The sequence below is a fragment of the Homo sapiens genome, chromosome 16 (genome assembly GCF_000001405.40).
Source record: "Homo sapiens chromosome 16, GRCh38.p14 Primary Assembly".
Taxonomy (NCBI): domain Eukaryota; kingdom Metazoa; phylum Chordata; class Mammalia; order Primates; family Hominidae; genus Homo; species Homo sapiens.
Window position 1 is genome coordinate 67,771,607 of NC_000016.10, and position 24,607 is coordinate 67,796,213.

General features: G+C 47.5%; 1 protein-coding gene across 6 annotated transcripts in view, besides 1 other annotated feature; it reads right to left on the bottom strand.

Annotated features, from left to right (window-relative positions):
* The window catches only part of RANBP10 (RAN binding protein 10), an 83,491-nt gene that overhangs the window by 48,537 nt on the left and 10,347 nt on the right, over positions 1 to 24,607 (bottom strand). For 5 of the 6 annotated variants that reach the window (NM_001320238.2, NM_001320239.2, NM_020850.3 and 2 more), the window contains one exon: positions 428 to 480. The exons of the other annotated variant lie outside the window; for it this stretch is intronic. In NM_001320238.2, coding sequence (NP_001307167.1) covers positions 428 to 476 — 49 coding nt within the window. In that variant the 5' untranslated portion in view covers positions 477 to 480. The remainder of the gene's footprint in view (positions 1 to 427; positions 481 to 24,607) is intronic. 6 annotated transcript variants of the gene reach the window in all.
* Positions 9,854 to 10,003: an enhancer, noted in NCBI's record as "active region_10983". NCBI's record gives its function as "activates an Ori minimal core promoter by ATAC-STARR-seq in GM12878 lymphoblastoid cells {active_cell/tissue: GM12878}" and the evidence as "EXISTENCE:reporter gene assay evidence [ECO:0000049][PMID:35858748]".

Consider the following 24,607-nt stretch of genomic DNA (forward strand, 5'->3'; position numbering starts at 1 on the left):
AGTGGGATTACAGGCGTGAGCCGCTGTGCCCGGCCAAAAACTTTGATCTTTAACACGATGAAGTAACAAAGGAGCCAAGGTTGGCAGCAGTCTTCCTCCCAGTACATGCCTGAGTCTGCTCAGCAAGGCCAATGGGAGCAAGGGCTACTGACGCGTATCCCTACCTGGAGCAAACTCAGGTCAGTTGACTTTGATGGCAAACAGTTCAAATTCCATTAATGACAATCACTTGTCAATTAATTTTTGGAATGGAAATGCACACCATCCTGGCCCAAGGGCTACCTTTCAGGATCCTCCAACCAGTAGCATGGCTTGAGGTAGGCAGCTAGCAAACAAAGTCCTCCCCAGCCTCTCTGCTACCACCATGACTCTCAACCCCAATTGGATCAGGAGAGCAGAACAAATGTTCTCTTAAACAGTGACTCACCAGGAAGTCTGTTCATGTTGACGCCTTGAGCCGAGAGTCCTATTCCCATGTAACTTCAAAAAAAAAAAAAAAAAAAACACAAAATTTTTGGTTAGCAAATGCTCATGCGTCTCCCTTCTCAAACATTTATTGGTAAAAGACAGAAAAATGAGAAAAGCAATGAATGTAGAGGCTCTTATAACATACTAATGGTTCTTGGAGAAACCTGACATTTTGATTTGCTAATGGAAAGCATCTTAGTGCCTCACCCAGCTAGAGAAAACAGAAAGTTGCGTGTGTTGTGTCACTATGAACCACCGGCTTCAATTTCAGAGGAAAGTGTCATGAATTCATGGCTTCCAGTCCTTTGGCATTCTGGCTGTAGCTAAGGCACAGAATCTATTCCTAAGATGTGCCTAAAGCATCTCAATCCTAGGTAGTGCTTTACAGAGCAATGCACGATTGTTCCACAGGGAGAACCCAGTCTGCACCAAAGACCAGGACATGGTAAAGCCAAGTTGGATCTACATAGGATCATCAATCAAGACTGCTCAAACGAGCTTGTTCTCTGGGTCTCAAAATTCATTACCTTCCCCGCATACATTCACATTGGCCTCCCAAACCACACAAAGCTGGGAGTAATGATGTGTGAGGCCCCCAGAGACCCCCTCACTCCTCCCACTCTTTGAAGAGTGGGGCTTATTCTCTTTGAACCCTGACTTAGTTGTGATCTCATTGGAGTATGCAACCTGGGCTCCTGTGGGGCTGCTCCCTGTGTCATTGACACCTGGAGGTAGAATGGCACCCAAATGTGGGTGTCAGCTTCCTCTGGCTGCTCTCCCCTTAGACAATCCACTCAGATTCTCAAGTTGAGGCAGAGGCTCCCAGGCCATCTACTAATAAATACCATCTTACCTTTGCACTTGGGACTTTTTAAGTTAATGCTGGAATGAGTTAAGACTCTGGGGGACTAGTGGGAAGGGATGATTGTATTCTGCAATGTGAGAAAGACATGAAATTTGGGGGGCCAGGGTAGAATGATATGGTTTCGATGTTTGTCCTCTCCAAATCTCATGTAGACATGTAATACCCAATGCTGGAGGTGGGGCCTGGTGGCAGGTGTTAAGATCATGGGGATAGATCCTTCATGAATGTCTTGGGGCAGTCCTCACAGTAATGAACGAGTTCTTGCTCTATGTTCCTGCGAGATCTGGTTGTTTAAAAGAGTATAGCACCTCCCCCCAACTTGTTCCCGTTGTTGCCATGTGACATGCTGGCTCCTAGTCAACATCCACTATGACTGTAAGCTTCTCCAGGCCTTTGCCGGCACCATGCTTCCTGTAAAGCCTGTAGAATTGTGAGCCAATTAAACCTCTTTTCTTTATAAACCTTCTTTTCTTTACCCTGTCTCAGGTATTTCTTTATAGTAATATAAAAAAGGCTAATACACTGCCCCTGCCAGTCCTTTATTGGCAGTAAATGCCCTTTTGCCTTTCTCTGGGTTGCTGCACCACTATATTTGGGGGAGCAGCCTCTACTACCAAAATAAAGGGTCAGGCAGGGAGGGAAGGCTCTGACCTACTCACCTGCCTCTGAAATCAGCTATCCCAATCATGCTGGGCAGGAACAAGGAAAGGAAACAACCCAGCATATGGCCCTGATAACGTGGCCCACATGGCTTAGGGAAAAAGGTAGAGAAGGGAAAGGAGCAAAGCAAAAGGAACAGCACTTCAAAGAGGGAGTTTCATAGTTCGAAGGGAACTTGTCTTCTGCTTTGTTTTAAGCAGCATTTGAGACAGAGTTGGATCCTTAAAGGTCAAAGACATGAACCAATATAGCCTGTAGCTGGACAGGACTGCTCAGTCATTCCCAGAAACACACAAACTGCCTGCCTCCTCCTGCCAGAGGGGCTAGCTTCAAGGACCATCAGGAGCAGAAGCTGTCTTAGCCTGCTGGCAGAATTCCCATTAGATTAAAACTTGCACATTTTTCCAGAAAAACTGCAGCCCAAATAATCAGCTTCCTGACTTTACATGGCAGAGGCTGCCAAAAGTCAGTCTCCATTCCTTCAGTACCTCAGCTGACCAAGCAGCAAACGACCCCAGCTGCCCTGCAGTCAGCAGTCCAACAGGCACAAGTGCAACAGTCAGGGCTTTCCCTGATTTAGACAACAGCCACTCACCATGCCCTGTTCAGAGGGGCCTGGGGCTATGCCCAACACCACATGTCATCCCATCCCCAGCACATAGGCTTCCTGACACTAGGTAAGGGTTTATGTTTGGAGCACATGTGCAAACGGGGAGGTCAAAGGTCACTCAAGAAGAGTTATGCTTGGTCGCTGCAACAGGGCTCTGGTTCCACAACATTCTATGGGAATGGGGAATCACTAAAGCACCTGTGCTCAAAACACAACTTGCTTAGGCCTCCCCACAGGAGACGCCTCTCCCTTCTCCAGCAGCTAGCCCTCAACACCTTCCTACAGACTCTGCTCCACAGGTAAGATGGTGTTTATTAGTGGATGGCTCGGGAGCCTCTGTACAAACCCCTGCCTCGACTTGAGAATCTGAGTGGACTGTCTAAGGGGAGAGCAGCCAGAGGAAGCTGACACCCACATTTGGGCACCATTCCACCTCTAGGTGTCAATGACACAGGGAGCAGCCCCACAGGAGCCCAGGTTGCATATTCCAATGAGGTCACAGCTGAGTCAGGGTTCAAGGCGAATAAGCCCCCACTCTTCAAATACTGGGTGACATTAAGTCTTTTCCAAAAGCATGGTGTTTTAAAGCTACCAAAAGATGCACTCTTCTATCTTCCAGAAACTCTTCATAAACTTAAAGACTATCATCCAACCAATCTGAGAGAAACAAAGCAGACCCTGTGAATACACTAAAAAACACGAATTGTACACTTTAAATGGTGACTTGTATAGCATGTTAAATTACATGTCAATAACACTCAAGAAAGTAGGAATAAAAGGAAACTACCTTAACACAACAAAGGTCATATATGAAAAACCTGGCTGGGCACAGTGGCTCACACCTGTAATCCCAGCATCTTGGGAGGCTGAGGCGGGTGGATCACTTGAGGTCAGGAGTTCGAGACCAGCCTGGCCAACATGGTGAAACACCGTCTCTACTAAAAATACAAAAATTAGCAGGGTGTGGTGGCACACGCCTGTAATCCCAGCTACCAGGGAGCTGAAGCAGGAGAATCGCTTGAACCCTAGAGGCCGAGGTTGCAGTGAGCCAAGATCAGGCCACTGCATTCCAGTCTGGGTGACAAAGAGAGACTCCGCTTCGAAAAATAAATTTAAAAAAACCCCACAGCTAACATCATACTCAATGGTGGAAGACTGAAAGCCTTTCATCTAAGATGCCTGCTTTCACCACTTCTATTCAAGACAGTATTGGGAGTTCTAGATGATGCAATCAGACAAGAAAAAGGAATGAAAGGCATCCAAATTGGAAAGGAAAACTATCTCTGTTCACAGATGACATGTTCCCATACGTAGAAAACCTTGCCAGGTGTGGTGGCTCATGCCTGTAATCCCAGAACTTTGGGAGGCTGAAGCAGGAAGATCGCTTGAGCCCAAGAGTTCGAGACCAGCCTAGGCAACACGGCAATATCCTGTCTCTACAAAAAATTAGGTGGGCATGGTGAAGTGCACCTGTAATTCCAGCTGCTTAGAAGACTGAGGTGGGAAGATCACCTGAGCCCAGGAGATCAAGACTGCAGTAAGCAAGATTGTGCCACTGGGTGACAGAGTGAGACTCCGTCTAAAAAAAAAAAAAAAAAAAAAAACTGGAAAGAAAAGAAAGGGAAACTCTAAAGATTGCACAAAACAAAAAACTTGCCGGGCGCGGTGGCTCACACCTGTAATCCCAGCTCTTTGGGAGGCCCAGGCGAGCGGATCACAAGGTCAGGAGATCAAGACCATCCTGGCCAACACGGTGAAACCCCGTCTCTACTAAAAATACAAAAAATTAGCCAGGCATGGTGGTGGGTGCCTGTAGTCCCAGCTACTCAGGAGGCTGAGGCAGGAGAATGGCATGAACCTGGGAGGCGGAGCTTGCAGTGAGCCGAGATCACACCACTGCACTCCAGCCTGAGAGACAGAGCAAGACTCCATCTCAAAAAAAAAAAAATTAGAATTGGCCAGATGCAGGGCTGGGTGTGGTAGCTCACACCTGTAATCCCAGCACTTTGGGAGGCTGAGGTCGGCGGATCACCTGAGGTCAGGAGGTTCAAGACCAGCCTGACCAACATGGTAAAAACCAATCTCTAATAAAATACAAAAAAATTAGCCGGGTGTGGTGGAACATGGCTGTAAACCCAGCTACTTGGGAGGGTGAGGCAGGAGAATCGCTTAAACCTGGGAGACAGAGGTTGCTTTGAGCTGAGATCAGGCCACTGCACTCCAGCCCGGACAACAGACACGGACTCCATCTCAAAAAAAAAAAAAAAAAAAAAAAAAGAATTGGCCAGGTGTGGTGGCTCATGCCTGTAATCCCAGCACTTTGGGAGCTAAGACAGGCAGATCACCTGAGGTCAGGAGTTCAAGATCAGCCTGGCCAACATGGTGAAACCCTGTCTCTGTTAAAAATACAAAAATTAGCCGGGCGTGGTGGTGGGCACCTGTAATCCCAGCTACTTGGGAGGCCAAGGCAGGAGAATCACATGAACCTGGGGGCAGAAGTGGCAATAAGCTGAGATCGAGCCACTGCACTCCAGCCTGGGTGACAGAGCAAGACTTTGTCTCAAAAAAAAAAAGAAAAAGAAAAAGAAAAAAAAAAAGAACTAATAAGTTACTCTATTTCTCACTTTTCAGTTGTATTGCTACACACTTATAATGAACAATCAAAAAAAAATTGAGAAAACAATTCCATTTCCAATAGCATCAAAAGAATAAAATACTTAAGCTGGGCACGGTGGCTCACGCCTGTAATCCTAGCACTTTAGGAGGCTGAGGCAGGTGGATCACGAGGTCAGGAGTTCAAGACCAGCCTGACCAACATGGTGAAAACCCATCTCTACTAAAAATACAAAAATTAGCCGGGCGTGGTGGTGCATGCCTGTAATCCCAGCTATTCGGGAGGCTGAGGCAGGAGAATTGCAGGAACCCGGGAGGTGGAAGTTGCAGTGAGCCAATACCGCAGCATTGCACTCTAGCCTGGGGTACAAGAGCGAAACTCCGTCCCCCACCCAAAAAAAAGAAAAAAAATACTTAAAAGTAAATAAAGTAGGCTGGGCGCGGTGGCTCACGCCTATAATCCCAGCACTTTGGGAGGCTGAGGCGGGCAGATCACAAGGTCAGGAGATTGAGACCATCCTGACTAACATGGTAAAACCCCGTCTCTACTAAAAATACAAAAATTTAGCCGGGCATGGTGGCGGGGGCCTGTAGTCCCAGCTACGGGGGAGGCTGAGGCAGGAGAATGGCGTGAACCCAGGAGGCTGAGCTTGCAGTGAGCCGAGATCGCGCCACTGCACTCCAGCCTGGGCGACAAAGCGAGACTCCATCTCAAAACAAAACGAAAAAAAAAGTAAAAAAACTTAACCAAGGAGGCTAAAGACACTAAAAACTATAAAATGTTGATGAAGGAAATTACAGACACAAATAAATGGAAAGACATCCTCTGTTCACTGATTAGAAGACTCACTATTGTTAAGATGTCAATACTACCCAAAGTGATATACAGATTCAAGGCCATCCCTATCAAAATCCCAATGATGTTTTCCACAGAAATAGAAAAATCCATATGGAATCTCAAGGGACAGAAACAGTCAAAACAATCTTAAAAAGAACAAAGTTGGAGGGCTTACACTTTCTGATTTCAAAACTTACTACAAAGCTACAATAATAAATCAGTTTAAGACTCGCATAAAGACAGACCTACAGTCCAAGGAATAGAATAGAGATCCCAGAAATAAACCCTCACATGTATAGTCAACTGATTTCAACAAGGATGCTAAGACCATTAGATGGGGAAATGACAGTTTTTTCAACAAATAACGCTGGGACATCTGGATAATCACAAACAAAAGAACAAAGTTTGGCCAGGTGCGGTGGCTCACGCCTGTAATCCCAGCACTTCAGGAGGCCAAAGTGGGTGGATCACCTGAGGTCGGGAGTTCAAGACCAGCCTGACCTATGTGGAGAAACCCCGTCGCTACTAAAAATACAAAACTAGCTGGGCATAGTGGCGCATGCCTGTAATCACAGCTACTTGAGAGGCTGAAGCAGGAGAATCGCTTGAACCCAGGAGGCGGAGGTTGCAGTAAGCCAAGATCGCGCCACTGCACTCCAGCCCAGGCACCAAGAGCGAAACTCTGTCTAAAATAAAAAAAAAAAGAAGTTTTTTGCTTATATTACACCATATATAAAAATCAACTCAAAATGGATCAAAGACCTAATCATAAGAGCTAAAACTTCAACTCTCAGGAAAAGACATAGCAAGCTTCATGACATTGGATTTGGCAATAATTTCTTGGACAAAAGCACAGGCAACAAGAGAAAACATAGATAAAGTAAACTTCATCAAACTTTAAAACTTTTAGCTAGGAATGGTGATGTGCACCTGTAGTTCCAGCAATGTGGGAGGCTGAGGCAGGAGGATCGCTTGAGCCCAGGAGTTTGGGACTAGCCTGGGCGACACAGCAAAACCCCATCTCTAAAAAATGAGAGTGGCAAAGGCCTTGAGATGTTTCCCTAAAGAAGGTGTACATGTGGCCAGCAAGCACCTGAAAAGATGCTCACCATCACTATCGTTACGGAAATGCAAATCAAAACTACAGTGAGGGCAGGCACAGTGGCTCATGCCTATAATCCTAGCACTTTGGGAGGCCGAGGCAGATGGACTGCTTGAGCTCAGGAGTTCAAGACCAGCCTGAGCAACATGGCAAAACCCCATCTCTACAAAAAATATAAAAATCAGCTGGGCGTGGTGGTGCTTTTCTGTAGTCTCAGCTACTTGAGAGGCTGAGATGGGAGCACAGCTTGAGGCCCAGGAAGTTGAGGCTGCAGTGCCTCCCGCCATTGCACTCCAGAGCCTGGGTGACAAAGTGAGACACTGTCTCAAAATAAAAATAAAATAAAAATAGTCTGGGCGCAGTGGCTCATGCCTGTAATCCCAGCACTTTGGGAGGCCAAGGAGGGCTGATTGTTTGAGACCAGGAGTTCGAGATCAGCCTGGGCAAAATGGTGAAACCCTGTTTCCACCAAAAATACAAAAATTAACCAGACATGGTAGTGCACACCTGTAGTCCCAGCTACTCAGGAGGCTGAGGTGGGAGGATGGCTTGAGCCTGGGGTGGGTGGAGGTTGCAGTGAGCCGAGATGGCACTACTGCACTCCAGCCTGGGTGACAGAGCCAGACCTTGTCTCAAAGAAAAAAAAAAAAAAACACAGCGAGATACCACTTTGTACCCTTTGAGCTGCCAAGAATGAGACAAAAATAAATAAGGAAAGGGCATAACAAAAACCTCAAACTCATTCTCCTGTACACATACTGCAGTATCTTTGCATCTATGGAACAGGAAGAATCCCCATAGGAGGCCACTGACACTACCCTTCCTCTATTGATCTCTGCAGGCACCTGAATATGGCTGAGTTATTAGGAGCTCTTGGGTCCTTGCTAACGTTGAGTAATTCAGTAAAAACAGGTGTGATAAATTTCTTTTCATAGAGGTTCTTCCAGTCATTCATGTCATCAACAAAAATGCCCTGTACCCAGTATGATGCTGGGGACATAAGGGTGGGGGCCTGGGCTCAATCCTTGCCCTCCAACAGTTCTAATGTCAAGTCAGGGCAAGCCAGAGAGTCAAGGTGTGCTGACTCAAAATGGGGAATTCCCTCAGGAAGTGAAGGCTGAGCCAAGGCCTGGTAAAGTAAATGACAGGAGAAAGAGGATCATGGTCCACTCAAAAACAGCAGAATGTGGGCCAGGCACGGTGGCTCACGCCAGTAATCCCAGCACTTTGGGAGGCCAAGGCAGGTGGATCACGAGGTCAAGAGATCCAGACTATCCTGGCCAACATAGTGAAACCCCATCTCTACTAAAAATAAAAAAATTAGCCGGGCGTGGTGGCGGGTGCCTGTAGTCCCAGCTACTCGTGAGGCTGAGGCAGGACAATCACTTGAACCCGGGAGGCGGAGAATGCAGTGAGCCGAGATTGCGCCATTGCACTCCAGCCTGGCAACAAAGCTAGACTCCGTCTCAAAAAACAAACAAACAAACAAAAAAACACAGCAGAATGTGAAAAGGCATAGAGGCAAGAAAGCAGCCACGTGGTTGGGGAACTAAGAGAAGTTTAGTATGACTGGGTTACAGTCTGGGCAGACCTAGAAAGACAGACAGCTGGATCTGGAAATGGGCTGTGCATGCACAGCCTGCATGCTAGCTTAAGGAGTCTGAACTTCATGAGAGGTAAATGGGAAGCCACAGAAGGGGCTAAGCTGGGGATGGTGGCTTCAGCCTATAATCCCAGCTACTTGGGAGGCCAAGGCGGGAAGATCATTGGAAGCCAGGAGTGCAAGACCAGCCTAGACAACATAACAAGACCACCTCTGTCTCTAAAAAAAAGAAAGGGTACAGCTGATCAAACAGCTGATATTTGAAAAATGGATTGAAGAACCAAAACTGGACACTTCCAGAGTCATTCCCATGGAAGATGACAAGGGTGGGACAGGAGCAGTGGGATGATGTGGAGACAGGCAAGTGCTCTTTAGAACACAGTTAATTTATTGGGTGGGGGAGGAGCTAGAGAAGCCCAAGACACTGCCCAGCACAACCAGGCACCAAGGAAAGGTCAATTCTCTGAGACCCACTTGGAAATACTGGAGCCAAAGTGCTCAGTCAGAGTTAGCAGCAGCCATTCTCCAGCTGTGCTCTCTAGCCCTGGCATTGATGCCACGCACACACATCTCAGAACACAGCTCCAAGGAGCAAACACAGTTTACAATCCTAGACTCCAATCTCACCTCTGCCACTGAGTTCAACACATGCCCACTGGCATGTCCCATGTGCTCTCAGAGCCTGCTTTATCAGCTATTACCTTGAGGCTGGAGAGCCCCCAAAGCAGCCATTCAACAGGATCAGACAAACGAGCACCTGAGCGCAGTGCCGGAGGCTGAAGGTGGATGATGGGACAACCCCACTTTGTCCATTCATTCATACACTGGAGGATCTTCCAGCATCAGGATCTGGTAAGGAAATGAGGCCATTCTGGAAGGCCTGGATCTCAGGACATCTAAAACAAACACCTGTTTACTTGAGATTACCAAGGAGAAAGGAGGTGAATATTTGCTTCCTTGTTGGTAATGGGCCAGGCTATGCTAGAAACACTCACAGATACAACCTGCCTGGGTCAGCCTGGGAGGGAGGGCGGCAACAAGGGCTTTTACTCCCGGAGCAGGTGACTAGAATAGATAGAGCAGCTTAGCTCCCAACACTTCTCTACCAGGGCCTTCTTTTCTAACTGCAGGATATATTTCAGGAGCTGGGGAGAGGGAATTATTTACGCTATGACACAGGTGAAAGTAAGGTAAAGCCATCTGATTTACTCCTTTCTTCTATATGGCAGCAAAGTGGAGAAGAAATATCATGCCAGAGAGGTGAGACAGGAAGCACAGAGAGGCAACAGACAAGCTCTTCGTGGCAGTGAGGCCATGAGTAGGCCTGTAACTTCTCAGTTCCTACCGTTGCCTGCCAAAACCACAATGCAAGGTGGAGATACGAGAACAGCTATTCTGCCCTATCTAGCTCAAGAGAGAAGAGGGCAGCAAATAGGCACTGCTTGGGACAAGTGGAGTCGAGATCCACCAGAACACAAGATAGAGAAGAAGCAACCGCACCTGGAAGCAGGCAGCAAAGGCCCACAGGTGTCCACACTCACAAATCCACCCAGAAGCTCCCACTATCCACTGCAACTGGCAGGGGGTCCATGCTGCCACCCGAGCAAGGGGGTCCACCCAGCCCTGCCACCCGAGCTCAAGTCTGCTGAAACCCTGCAGTCATGTGGAGAGCTGCAAGCACAGTCCAGTCCTCTTGGATTCCTTTTTCTCTTTGCTTTTCCAGATTTTCTACAACTAACACAAATTACTTTTTACAATTTTTAAATTTTAATTTCTATTTTTAGTTTTTATTTGAGACAGGGTCTCACTCTGTCTCCCAAGCTGGAGTGCAATGGTGAGACCTTGCTCACTGCAACCTCTGCCTCCCAGGCTCAAGCCATCCTCCCACATCAGCCCCCTGAATAGCTGGGACCATAGGTGAGTGCCACCACACCTGGGTAGTTTAGAGATGGGGATTTGCCCTGTTGCCTAGGCTAGTCTTGAACCCCTGAGCTCAAGCGATCAGCCTGCCTTGGCCTCCCAAAATGCTTGGATTACAAGTGTGAGCCACCGTACCCAGCCAATTATTTTATTTTATATTTTATTTTATTTTATTATTTTTTTAGAGACGAAGTCTTGCTCTGTCACCCAGGCTGGAGTGCAGTGCCGCGATCTTGGCTCACTGCAACCTCTGCCTCCCAGGTTCAGGCAATTCTCCTGCATCAACTTCCCAAGTAGCTGGGACTACAAGGCGTGCGCTACCACACCCAGCTAATTTTTGTATTTTTCAGTAGAGATGGGGTTTCACTATATGTTGGCCAGGCTGGTCAACTCCTGACCTCATGTAATCCGCCCAGCTCGGCTTCCCAAAGTGCTGGGATTACAGGCATAAGCCACCGTGCTGGGCCAAAAATCACTTTTAAGAGCCATCTCTTAAAAGCCACTTTTAAGAGCCATCTCTTAAAAGCCACTTTTAAGAGCCATCTCTTAAAAGCCACTTTTAAGAGCCATCTCTTAAAAGCCACTTTTAAGAGCCATCTCTTAAAAGCCACTTTTAAGAGTAATGGCTACATACTGCAGAGGTTTTTGGCTCTCACTCATCAGACTCTCTCTGGATCACCCCAGGACATTTCAGTGATGGGGGACACATTAGGGAACGTGGCTTTCACAGTCAGCTCCTTGGTCCACCTAGCACCCCGAGTCTTGACAGAAGGGCAGAGGCTGCATCACAACAGTACAGCTTCAGAAACAGTCAAAATCCTTGCTGAGCAGAGGCCCTGAGGTTCCGGCTCACATGGCACCTAGTATGTCCCAAGCTGGGCACAGAGCACACACGCAGGAGACCCTGCTGCAGTGAGACAGATTTGGCACAGCTCCAACTGACTAGAGTTTCTTCTGCGACCCAGGCAGGCCTGGTGGTGGACAGAGGACAGAACTTTAGAAACCAGGGCCACCTGACTCTCACACCTCCCAGATATGTACAAGGCCACGGGAAGGAGACGACCCCTTTACTGTACTCTACCACCCAGTCCTGATAACAAGTTTGAGAACCCTGCACAGAGAACCCCTTTGGCAACAAGTCTGACTTCCCCTCCTGCCTCCTGAAGAGTTCTGAGGTGACAAGAACACTTCACAGCAGGGCTCCAAACACAACACCCTTGACTCTAAAAGGCTGGTCTCAGACACTCCAGCCTAATTCAAGACTATGGGTCTTAGATTTCAACCCACATATCAGGTTCCTTATTAGAGGAGGAAAGGTTAAACCAAAGGCTCCTAAGCTCCTTCCCAGCTTTGACCTAGACTTCAATTCTTCACAGAAAAATGTCTGTGCACATTGTAAATGTGCAGTGCCCAGATGCAAACCCAAGATGAGGAAGACCCTGGAACAGCAATCAAAAAGCCACTAAGAAGACATCAGGCTGAGTGCGGTGGCTCACGCCTATAATCCCAGCACTTTGGGAGGCCAAGGCAGGTGGATCACAAGGTCAGGAGTTCAAGACCAGCCTAGCCAAGATGGTAAAACCCCATCTCTACTAAAAATACAAAAAAATTAGCCGGGCGTGCTGACGGGTGTCTATAATCCCAGCTACTCGGGAGACTGAGGCAGAGAAGTGTTTGAACCTGGAAGGTGGAGGTTGCAGTGAGCCAAGATGGCGCCACTGCACTCCAGCCTGAGTGACAGAGAGAGAGACTCCGTCTCAAAAAAAAAAAAAAAAAAAAGACATCAAAGGAAAAGAAAGTTATAGAGCAATATAGATGAATATAGATGCAAAAATCCTTAATAGAATAGTAGCAGACCAAATCCAACAGTGTATTAAAAGGATTATATACCACAACCTAATGGGATTTATCCCAGAAAGGCAAGGATGGTTCAACATAAGAAAATCAGGTGGAGGCCGGGAGAGGTGGCTCACGCTTGTTAATTCCAGTATTTTGGGAGCCCAAGGCGGGTGGATCATTTGAGGTCAGGAGTTTGAAACCAGCCTGACCAACATGGTGAAACCCTATCTCTACTAAAAATACAAAATTAGGCCAGGCCTGGTGGCTCACGCCTGTAATCCCAGCACTTTGGGAGGCCAAGGCGGGAGGATCACCTGAGGTTGGGAGTTTGAGACCAGCCTGACCAACATGGAGAAACCCCGTCTCTACTAAAAATACAAAATTAGCCGGGCGTGGTGGCCCATGCCTCTAATCCCAGCTACTCTGGAGGCTGAGGCAGGAGAATCATTTGGACCTGGGAGGTGAAGGTTGCGGTGAGCCAAGATCGAGTCATTGCGCTCCAGCCTGGGCCACAAGAGTGAAACTCCATCCCAAAAAAAAAAAAATTAACCTAGCTTGGTGGTGTATGCCTGTAATCCCGGCTACTCGGGAGGCTGAGGCAGGAAAATCGCTTGAACCCGGGAGGCGGAGGTTGCAGTAAGCCGAGATTGAGCCATTGCACTCCAGCCTGGGTGACAAGAGCGAAACTCCATCTAAAAAAAAAAAAGAAAAAGAAAAGAAAAGAAAATGATCTAAATATAAGAGGTAAGGCCCTGGGCCAAAAATCTGGCACTGGCCCAGTAGCACTTAAAAAAAAAAAAATAGGCTGGGTGCGGTGGCTCACGCCTGTAATCCCAGCACTTTGGGAGGCCGAGGCGGGCAGATCACCTGAGGTCAGAAGTTTGAGACCAACCTGGCCAACATGGTGAAACCCCATCTCTACTAAAAATACAAAAAAAGTAGCCAGGCGTGGTGGCAGGTGCCTATAATCCTAGCTACTCGGGAGGCTGAGGCAGGAGAATCACTGGAACCCTGGAAGAGGAGGTTGCAGTGAGCCGAGATCGTGCCACTGCATTCCATCCTGGGTGACAGATCGAGAGTCGGTCTCAAAAATAAATAAATAAATAAAAAAGAAAGAAAGAAAGAAGGGAGGGAGGGAAGGAAGGGAAAAACTAAAATAAAAAGGAAAGAGCCAAAACCATAAAATTCTTAGAAGAAAGCGTAAGGGTAAATCTTCATGACCTTTGATTTCACAATGGATTTAGAGATGATACAAAAAGGATGAACAAAAAGAAAAATACATGAATTGGACTTAATTAATATTAAAACTTCTGTGCATCAAAAGACATCATCGGGGCTCATGCCTATAATCCCAGCACTTTGAGAGGCTGAGGCAGGCGGACCACTTGAGGTCAGGTGTTCGAGACCAGCCTGGTCGACATGGCAAAACCCCGTCTCCACTAAAAATACAAAAATTAGCCAGGTATGGTGGTCCATGCCTGTAATTCCAGCTACTCAGGAGGCTGAGGCAGGAGAATCACTTGAACCCGGGAGGCAAAGGTTGCAGTGAGCTGAGATCACACCACTGCACTCCTGCCTAGGAAACAGAGTGAGTGAGACTCCATCTCAAAAAAAAAAAAAAAGCCAGGCACAGTGGCTCACGCCTATAATCCCAACACTTTGGGAAGCCAAGGTGGTGGATCACAAGGTCAGGAGATCGAGACCATCCTGGCTAAAACGGTGAAACCCCGTCTCTACTAAAAATACAAAAAATTAGCCGAGCATGGTGGCAGGCGCCTGTAGTCCCAGCTACTCGGGAGGCTGAGGCAGGAGAATGGCGTTAACTTGGGAGGCGGAGCTTGCAGTGAGCGGAGATCAGAGCGAGACTCCATCTCAAAAAAAATAATAATAATTAAAAAAAAAAAAAGACATCATCAAGAGGCCAGGCATGGTAGCTCACATCTGTAATACCAGTGCTTTGGGAGGCTGTGGAGGCAGGAGGACTGCTTGAGCCCAGGAGTTCAAGACCAGCCTAGGCAACATGGCAAGACCCCATCTCTACAAAAAATTTAAAATTTAGCCAGTCATGGTGGCATGCACCTGTAGTCCCAGCTACTTGGGATGCTGAGGTGGAAGGATCACTTGAGCCCAGGAGGTTAAGTCTGCAGTGAGCCAAGATTGCACCACTGCACTCCAGCCTGTGCGACAGAGCAAAAATCCATCTGAAAAAAATAAAAATAAAAATAAAAAATAAGAGAGTGAAAAGACAATCAATGGAATAGGAAAAAGTATTTGCAAATCATAGATCTGATAAGGGTTTAATATCAAAAATAAAGAATTCCTATAACTCAACAACAGAAAGACAAACAACCCAAACAGGCAAAGGACTTGAACAGACATTTCTCCAAAGAATCTATACAGATAGCCACATACAATAAGCACATAACAAGATCCTCAACATCACTAGTCATTAGGAAATGCAAATCAAAACCACAATGAGTTACCACTTCATACCTAGAATAGCTATAATTTAAAAGTTCCAGGTCAAGTGCAGTGGCTCACGCCTGAAATTTCAGCACTTTGGGAGGCCGAGGCGGGCAGATCAGTTAAGGTCAGGAGTTCGAGGACAGCCTGGCCAACTTGGTGAAACCTGTCTCTACTAAAAATACAAAAATCAGCCAGGCGTAGTGGTACACACCTGTTATTCCAGCTACTCAGGAGGCTGAGACATGAGAATCACTTGAACCAGGGAGGTGGTGGTTGAAGTGAGCCCAGATCAAGCCATTGCACTCCAGCCTGGGGGATAGAGCTAGACTCCATCTCAAAAACAACAACGAAAAAATAGAATAAATAGGCCAGGCATGGTGGCTCACACCTGTAATTCCAGCACTTTGGGAGGCCAAGGCAGGCAGATTACTTGAGGTCAGGAGTTTGAGACCAACCTGGCCAACATGGTGAAACCCTGTCTCTACTAAAAATACAAAAATTAGCCAGGCGTGGTGGCACATGCCTGTGATCTCAGCTACTCAGGAGGCTGAGGTGGGAGAATCACTTGAACCCGGGAGGCAAAAGTTCCAATGAGCTGAGATAGCGCCAGTGCACTCTAGCCTGGGTGACAGAGTGAGACTCTATCTCAATCAATCAATCAATCAATCAATCAAAGTTCCAGCTACTTGAGAGGCTGAAGCAAGAGGATTGCTTGAGCTCAGGAGTTCAAGACCAGACTAGGCAAGACAGCAAGGCTTTAAAAAATAAAAAAATGAAGAAAGAAATAAAATAAATGTTGGCAAGGATGTAAAGAAATTGGAGCCTTCACACACTGCTGGTGGGGATGTAAAATGGTGCAGCCACTATGGAAAAGTTCGGTAGTTACCCAAAAAAGTTAAATAAAAATTATCATATGACCCAGCAATACCATTCTTAGGTGAACACCCAAAAGAACTGAAAATAGGAACTCAAACACTATGTACACCAATGTTTGCTGCAGCATTATTCACAATAACCAAAAGGTGAAAGCAACCTAAGCGTCCATCAACAGAAGAATGGATAAACAAAATGTGATGTATATATAAGTACAACAGAATATTATTCAGCCATAAAAAGGAATGAAGTTCTAGGCTGGGTATGGTGGCACATGCCTGTAATCCCAGCACGTTGGGAGGCTGAGGCAAGAGGATCACTTGAGGCCCGGTGTCAAGACCAGCCTGGGTAACATAGCGAGATTCTGTCTCTAGAAAAAAAAAAATTTTTTTTTGAGATGGAGTCTCGCCTGTTGCCCAGGTTGGAGTGCAGTGGTGCGATCTTGGCTCACTGCAACCTCCACCTCCTGGGCTCAAGTGATTCTCCAGCTTCAGCCTCCCGAGTAGCTGTGACTACAGGCACATGCCAACACACTCAGCTAATTTTTTTATTTTTAGTAGAGACTGGGTTTCACCATGTTGTCCAGGATGGTCTTGATCTCTTGACCTCATGATCCACCCGCCTCAGCCTCCCAAAGTGCTGGGATTACAGGCGTGAGCCTGTAGTCCTGAGCTCAAGCAATCCTCTTGCTTCAGCCTCTCAAGTAGCTGGAACTTTGATTGACTGACTGATTGATTGATTGAGATAGAGTCTCACTCTGTCAGCCTGTAGAGCCACGCCTGGCCTCTACAAATTTTTTTTTCTTTTGAGACAGAGTCTTGCTCTGTCGCCCAGGCTGGAGTGCAGTGGTGCGATCTCGGCTCAATGCAAGCTCCGCCTCCCAGGTTCACACCATTCTCCTGCCTCAGCCTCTCGAGTAGCTGGGACTATAGGCGCCCGCCACCATGCCCGGCTAATTTTTTGTTGTATTTTTTTAGTAGAGAGGGGGTTTCACCATGTTAGCCAGGATGGTCTCGATCTCCTGACCTCGTGATCCACCCGCCTCGGCCTCCCAAAGTGCTGGGATTACAGCGTGAGCCAGCGCGCCCAGCCCTTTTTTTTGTATTTTTAGTAAAGACGGTGTTTCAACATATAACCAGGATGGTCTTGATCTCCTGACCTCGTGATCTGCCTGCCTTGGCCTCCCAAAGTGCTGGGATTACAGGCATGAGCCACCGCTCCTGCCCCCAAAATTTTTTTTTAAATTAGTCAGGCAGGACGCGCACAGTGGCTCACACCTATAATTCCAGCACTTTGGGAGGCCGAGACGGGCAGATCTCTTGAGGTCAGGAGTTCGAGACCAGCCTGGCCAACATGGTGAACTCCATCTCTACTGAAAATACAAAAATTAGCCAGGTGTGGTGGCACACGCCTATAGTCCCAGCTACTTGGGAGGCTGAGGCAGGGGAATAGCTTGAACCGAGGTGGAGGCTGCAGTGAGCCAAGATCACACCACTGCACTCCAGCCTGGGCAACAGAGTGAGACTCCGTCTCAAAAGAGGAAAAAAAAAAAATTATCCAGGCAGGCCGGGCACAGTGGCTCACGCCTATAATCCCAGCACTTTGGGAGGCTGAGGCGGGCAGATTACTTGAGGTCAAGAATTCAAGACCAGCCTGGCCAATATGGTGAAATGCCATCTCTACTAAAAATACAAAATTTAGCCAGGTGTGGTGGTGCACGCCTGTAGTCTCAGCTAGTCAGGAGGCTGAGGCAGGGGAATAGCTTGAACCTGGGAGGTAGAGGTTGCAGTGAGCCAAGATCATGCCACTGCACTCCAGCCTGGGCACCAGAATAAGACTCCATCTCAAAAAAAAAAAAAAATGTACCCAGGCATGGTGGCATATGCCTGCAATCCTAGCTACTACTCAGGAGGCTGTGGCTAGAGGATTTCTTGAGCCTAGGAGCTCAAGGATACAGTGAGCCATGATTGTGCCACTGCACTCCAGTCTGGGCAACAGAACAAGACCATATTTCTTTTTTTTTTGAGATGGAGTCTCACTCTGTTGCCTAGGCTGGAGTGCAATGGCACCATCTCGGCTTGCTGCAACCTCCACCTCCTGGATTCAAGTGATTATCCTGCCTCAGCCTCCCAAGTAGCTGGGATTATAGGCACACACCACCACGCCTGGCTAATTTTTTGTATTTTTAGTAGAGACGGGGTTTCACCATGTTGGTCAGGCTGGTCTCAAACTCATGACCTCAGGTGATCCACCCATCTCAGTCTCCCAAAGTGCTGGGATTACAGGCATGAGCCACCATGCCCAGACAACCATATATCTTAAAAACAACTAAATAAATAAATAAGAAGAAATGGACTGGGCGCAGTGGCTCACACCTGTAATCCCAGCACTTTGGGAGGCCAAGACAGGCGGATCACGAGGTCAGGAGTTCAAGATCAATCTGACCAACATGGCGAAATCCCATCTCTACTAAAAATACAAAAATTGGCTGGGCGTGGTGGTGCACACCTGTAATCCCAGCTACTCGGGAGGCTGAGGCAGGAGAATTGCTGAACCTGGGAGGCGGAGGTTGCAGTGAGCCGAGATCGCACCACTGCACTCCAGCCTGGGTGACAGAATGAGACTCTGTCTCAAATTAAAAAAAAAAAAGAAGAAGAAGAAATGAAGTTATGAAACATGCCACAACACAGATAAACCTTGAAAACATAATGCTATGTGAAATGGGTCAGACACAAAAGGACCAATATTGTAGGATTCCCCTTACATGAACTATCAAGAATAAGCAAATTCATAGAAACAGAAAGTAGATCAGAGGTTAACAGGGACTAGGAGGAAGGAGAAATGGAGAATTACTGCTTAATGGGTACAGAGTTTCTGTTTGGGGTGATGGAAAAGTTCTAGAAATAGACAGTGATATGGTGATGGTTGCACAACATTGTGGATGCAATTAATACCACTGAATTACACACTGAAAATGGATAAAATGGCATATTTTATGTTACATATATTTTACCACACACACATACACAGAGACACCAAGAACACCCCTATGGCCCTGCAAACCAGCAAGGACCGCATCTGGCTTTTCCCGATGAGACAAGGGAGGCCCTGGCACAGAGCACAATGGGCAGCATAAGAGTATTCTGGCCTCACATTGGGGCCAGAAGTCCCGCACTTAGCCCACAGCAAATGACAAGAGTGAAGAAGGACCCAACTGTTTCTACTTTTACCAATTTTTTATTTTTTTATTTTTTGAGATGGAGCCTCAATCTGTTGCCTAGGCTGGAGTGCAGTGGCACAGTCTTGGCTCACTGCAACCTCCGCCTCCCAGATTCAAGCAATTCTCCTGCCTCAGCCTCCTGAGCTGCTGGGATTACAGGCACTCGCCACCATGCCTGGCTAATTTTTGTATTTTTAGTAGAGACGGGGTCTCATCATGTTGACCAGGCTGGTCTCAAACTCTTGACCTCATGATCCACCCACCTCAGCCTCCCAAAGTGCTGTGATTACAGGCATAAGCCACAGAGCCTGGCCAGTTTTACCAATTTATTTCTTTTTTTTTTTTTTTGAGACAGAGTCTCGCTCTGTCGCCCAGGCTGGAGTGCATTGGCGCAATCTCGGCTCACTGCAACCTCTGCCTCCCGGGTTGAAGCGATTCTCCTGCCTCAGCCTCCCAAGTAGCTGGGACTGTAGGCGTGTGCGACCACGCCTGGCTAATTTTTTGTATCTTTAGTAGAGACAGGGTTTCACCATGTTAGCCAGGCTGGTCTTGATCTCCTGACCTCGTGATCCACCCACCTCGGCCTCCCAAAGTGCTGGGATTACAGGTGTGAGCCACTATGCCCGGCCCAGTTTTACCAATTTCTTTTTAGAGGGAAGGTATATTTCATGGGCTGGCAAGCCTATGGGCACTTTTAAGAACTGCTGCATAAGATACAGGAGCCAATGGGGCTCGACGTTTTAAATTTAAGCTCCATCAGCAGGATGTCCCTACACCCACAGGGCTCTGGTAGGAAGTGATGAAAAGGAGAGAAGAGACAAGGTCTTCAGCCTCAGGGCTGAGATGGCTGTTGGAGGCTGCAGGAAGGTACCAGCTCTGCCACCTACCCTCAGGTGAAAGGGCTAGTCACCAGTACCCCCAACCCTAGACCTCCCAGGGGCTCCAGGAATCTCACTGGACAGTTTCATCTTGACATCTAATACCTTAGCCACAGTTCAGCAGGCTGGCAATCTTGTTGCTATCAGAACCTGCCCCAGAAAAGAAATCAACAGCCTCTACATCAAAGGGGAACTCTGGGACCTCAGTTACAAAATGATCCTTGGAAGATGGTTCAGGAAAAACAACAACTGATATTTAGGTCTGAAATGAGGGCTAATATTCAGTGCTAGGAATTTTATTTCATAGTCTAATCGGCCCACTTAAGGCCATAGTCAATGCCAGGTGTGCTGGCTCACACCTGTAATACCAGCCTTTGATAGGCCAAGGCAGGAGGATTGCTAGTGCCCAAGAGTTTGAGGCTGCAGTGAGTTATGATCACACCACTGCACTCCAGCCTGGGCAACAGAGTGAGACTCCGTCTCAAAAAAAAAAAAAAAAAGTAAATAAATAAATAAAGCAAGCTTCAGTCCATCATGACACTGGCTGCTACGTGTAAGCTGCTCCTCCAGCAAGCAACCATACCCGCCCCTGCCCCAGGAAGCCATGCAGTCACCCACTGAGCCCAATTCTGTGTAGATTTGCTACTAAGAGGAAGGGCATTACAGAGATGAGTGACCTGGGCCTTAGAACTATTCAAAAAATATAGGCTAGACCAGGCACCGTGGCTCACGCCTGTAATCCCAGCACTTTGGGAGGCCGAGGCAGGCGGATCACGAGGTCAGGAGATCAAGACCATCCTGGCTAACACGGTGAAACCCCATCTCTACTAAAAAAAAATACAAAAAAAAAATTAGCCAGGCGTAGTGGCGGACGCCTGTAGTCCCAGCTACTTGGGAGGCTGAGGCAGGAGAATGGCATGAACCTGGGAGGCAGAGGTTGCAGTGAGCCGAGATCCCGCCACTGCAGTCCAGCCTGGGTGACAGAGCGAGACTCCATCTCAAAAAAAAAAAAAAGAAATCGAAACCATCCTGGCCAATATGGTGAAGCCCCATAAAATACAAAATACAAAAATTAGCTGGGCATGGTGGTACGCACCTATAGTCCCAGCTACTCAGGAGGCTGAGACAGGAGAATCGCTTAAAACTGAGAGTCAGAGGTTGCAGTGAGCCAAGATCACACCACCGCACTCCAGCCTGGCAACAGAGCAAGACTCCGTCTCAAAAAAAAAAAAAAAGAATAGGCCAGAAAGCAAAGGGGCCTCAAGTTAGGGTGCTCGTATGGAGAAATGTGGTTCTGTGTATGGGTCAGGAGACCCTCATGTGCCCAATGTCACCAGCACTATCAAAGCACCCCGAGAGATTACCAGACAAAAGGGGCAGAACAGCCCCTATTGGTGGCCCTAGGCAGGTTACACATCCTTGGTTCTGAGCTCCTTCTCTAATGTACTAACAGAGTCTCAAGTACCAAACCTTGACTTTCCAGAGCCTGCCACATTCAAAAACCCAAAGGCACTGCCCGTAACCGGAGGGTGTAGCCACTAATGCCCCAGCTTAATTTGAGAGAGTTCCCATTAGACCCCACAGGGGTCTAACCTCCACCTCTATGGCCCTGTGTAATTACGGAGCTGAAGCACACAAGCATAGCAGTGTGTGAACACCACAAATGTCCTTTGGTACACAGACACTACCCTTAACTCTAGTTACAGGTGTTCATCCAGACACTGGCCTTGAGTTGGCTGGCTTGTAATTTTTTTTTTTTTTTTTTTTTTTAGATGGAGTTTCACTTGTTTGACTGGCTGGAGCACAATGGCACGACCACGGCTCATTGCAACCTCCGCTTCCCAGGTTCAAGCAATTCTCCTGCCTCAGCCTCCCGAGTAGCTAGGATTACAGGTATACGCCACCATGCCTGGCTAATGTTTGTATTTTTAGTAGAGACAGGGTTTCACCATGTTGGTCACGCTGGTCTCAAACTCCTAACCTCAGGTGATCCGCCCACCTCAGCCTCCCAAAGTGCTGGGATTACAGGCGTGAGCCACCGTGCCCAGCCTCGCTTGTAATATTTTATCTGCCATCTTATTTTCAATCGGAGACATTATTTAAGTAGCCTAGTCCACCACTACATGAAAATTCTAAGTCTTGATAATTTTATAAGCATCAAAGTCCATATATTAAACCCCTTTCTACTGGAAATTTCTGGTTTCTGTTTTCTGCATTTGCTTCTACTAGTACTATGCACATAATGGCCATAAGCCTGCATTTGTTTAAACCTGCATCTCTCTATCCCTCTGCTATTTATTTTTATTTTTTATTTTATTTATTTATTTATTTATTTTTGAGACGAGTCTCACTCTCTCATCCACACTGGAATGCAGTAGCTCAATCATAGCTCACTGTAGCCTCAAACTCCTGGTTTCAAGCAATCCTCCTGCCTCAGCCTCCCAAGTAGCTAGGTCTACAGAAGTATTCTATCACACCCCGCTCATTTTTAAAAATGTTTCGTAGAGGTGGGGGTCTCACTATGTTGTCCAGGCTGGTCTTGAACCCCTAGGCTCAAGCAATCCTTCCGTCTTGGCCTTCCAAAGTGCTGGGACTGGTCGGGGTGGTGGCTCAAGCCTGTAATCCCAGCACTTTGAGGGGCCGAGGCGGGCAGATCACCTGAGATCAGCAGTTTGAGACCAGCCTGGCCAACATGGCGAAACCCCATCTCTACTAGAAATACAAAAATTAGCCAGGCATGGTGGTGCATGCCTGTAACCTCAGCTCTCAGGAGGCTGAGGCGGGAGAATTGCTTGAACTCAGGGGGCGGAGGTTGGAGTGAGCCGAGGTCATGCTGCTGCACTCCAGCCTGGGTGACACAGCGAGACTCCGTCTCAAAATAAAAAACGAGCCACCACACCCGGCCTGCTGTGTATTTTTTAAACGTAGACTTTATCAGGTATTAAAAAAATCCAACATATTCTTTTTTTTTTTTTTTTTGAGATGGAGTCTCACTCTGTCTCCCAGGCTGGAGTGCAGTGGCACGATCTCGGCTCACTATAACCTCCGCCTCCCAGGTTCAACCAATTCTCCTGCCTCAGCCTCCCGAAGAGCTGAGACTACAGGTGTGTGCCACCATGGCCAGCTAATTTTTTTGTATTTTTAGTAGAGACAGGGTTTCACCGTGTTAGCCAGGATGGTCTTGATCTCCTGACCTCATGATCCACCTGCCTCAGCCTCCCAAAGTGCTGGGATTACAGGCTTGAGCCACTGGGCCCAGCCTAAAAAAAATCCTACATATTCTTTAACAGTTAAAAAAAAAAATTTCAGGCCACTATCTTGCCACTGCACTCCAGCCTAGGTGACAAGAGTGAGACCCTGCCTCAAATTAAAAAAAAAAAAAAACAAAAAAAAAAAACAGCAACAAAAAAAGGCCAAGTACAGTGGCTCACACCTGTAATCCCAGTACTCCGGGAGGCCAAGACAGGCAGATCACTTAAGCCCAGGAAGATCACCCTGGGCAAGTGGTGAAATTCCATTTCTACTTAAAAAAAAAAAAATTAGCTGAGCATGATGGCATGTGCCTGTAGTCCCAGCTACTCAGGAGGCTGAGGTGGGAGAATCTCTTGAGCAGGAGGGGAGGTTGCAGAGCCATGATTGCAATACTGCACTCCAGCCTGGGCAACAGAGTGAGACCCCGCCTCAAAAAAATAAATAGGCTGGGTGCGGTGGTCCACACCTATAATCCCAGCACTTTGGGAGGCTGAGGTAGGAGGATGACCTAAGGTCGGGAGTTCAAGACCAGCCTGACCAACATGGAGAAACCCTGTCTTTACTAAAAATACAAAATTAGCCAGGCATGGTGGTGCACGCCTGTAATCCCAGCTACTCAGGAGGCTGAGGCAGGAGAATCGCTTGAACCCGGGAGGCGGAAGTTATGGTGAGCCAAGATCGTGCCATTGTACTCCAGCCTGGGCAACAAGAGTGAAACTCCGTCTCAAAATAAACAAACAAATAAAATAATTTTTTAAAAATAAAGGTTTTCGGCCGGGCGCGGTGGCTCACACCTGTAATCCCAGCACTTTGGGAGGCCGAGGCGGGTGGATCACGAGGTCAGGAGATCGAGACCACGGTGAAACCCCATCTCTACTAAAAATACAAAAAATTAGCCAGGTGCGGTGGCGGGCACCTGTAGTCCCAGCTACTCAGGAGGCTGAGGCAGGAGAGTGGCGTGAACCCGGAAAGTGGAGCTTGCAGTGAGCTGAGATCGCACCACTGCACTCCAGCCTGGGCGACAGAGTGAGACTCCGTCTCAAAAATAAACAAACAAACAAACAAACAAATGTTTTCTATACGTAAAATAAAAATATTTTGATTTTTTTTTTTTTTTTTTGGAGACAGAGCCTTACTCTGTTGCCCAGGCTGGAGTGCAGTGGCACAGTCTCAGCTCACTGCAACCTCCACCTCCCGCGTTCAAGTGATTCTCCTGACTCAGCCTCCTGAGTAGCTGGGATTACAGGCGCCTGCCACCATGCCCAGCTAATATTTTTTACTTTTAGTAGAGACAGGGTTTCGCCATGTCGGCCAGGCTGGTTTCAAACTCCTGACCTTGTGATCCGCCTGCCTCGGCCTCCCAAAGCGCTGGGATTACAGGTGTGAGCCACAGCACACAG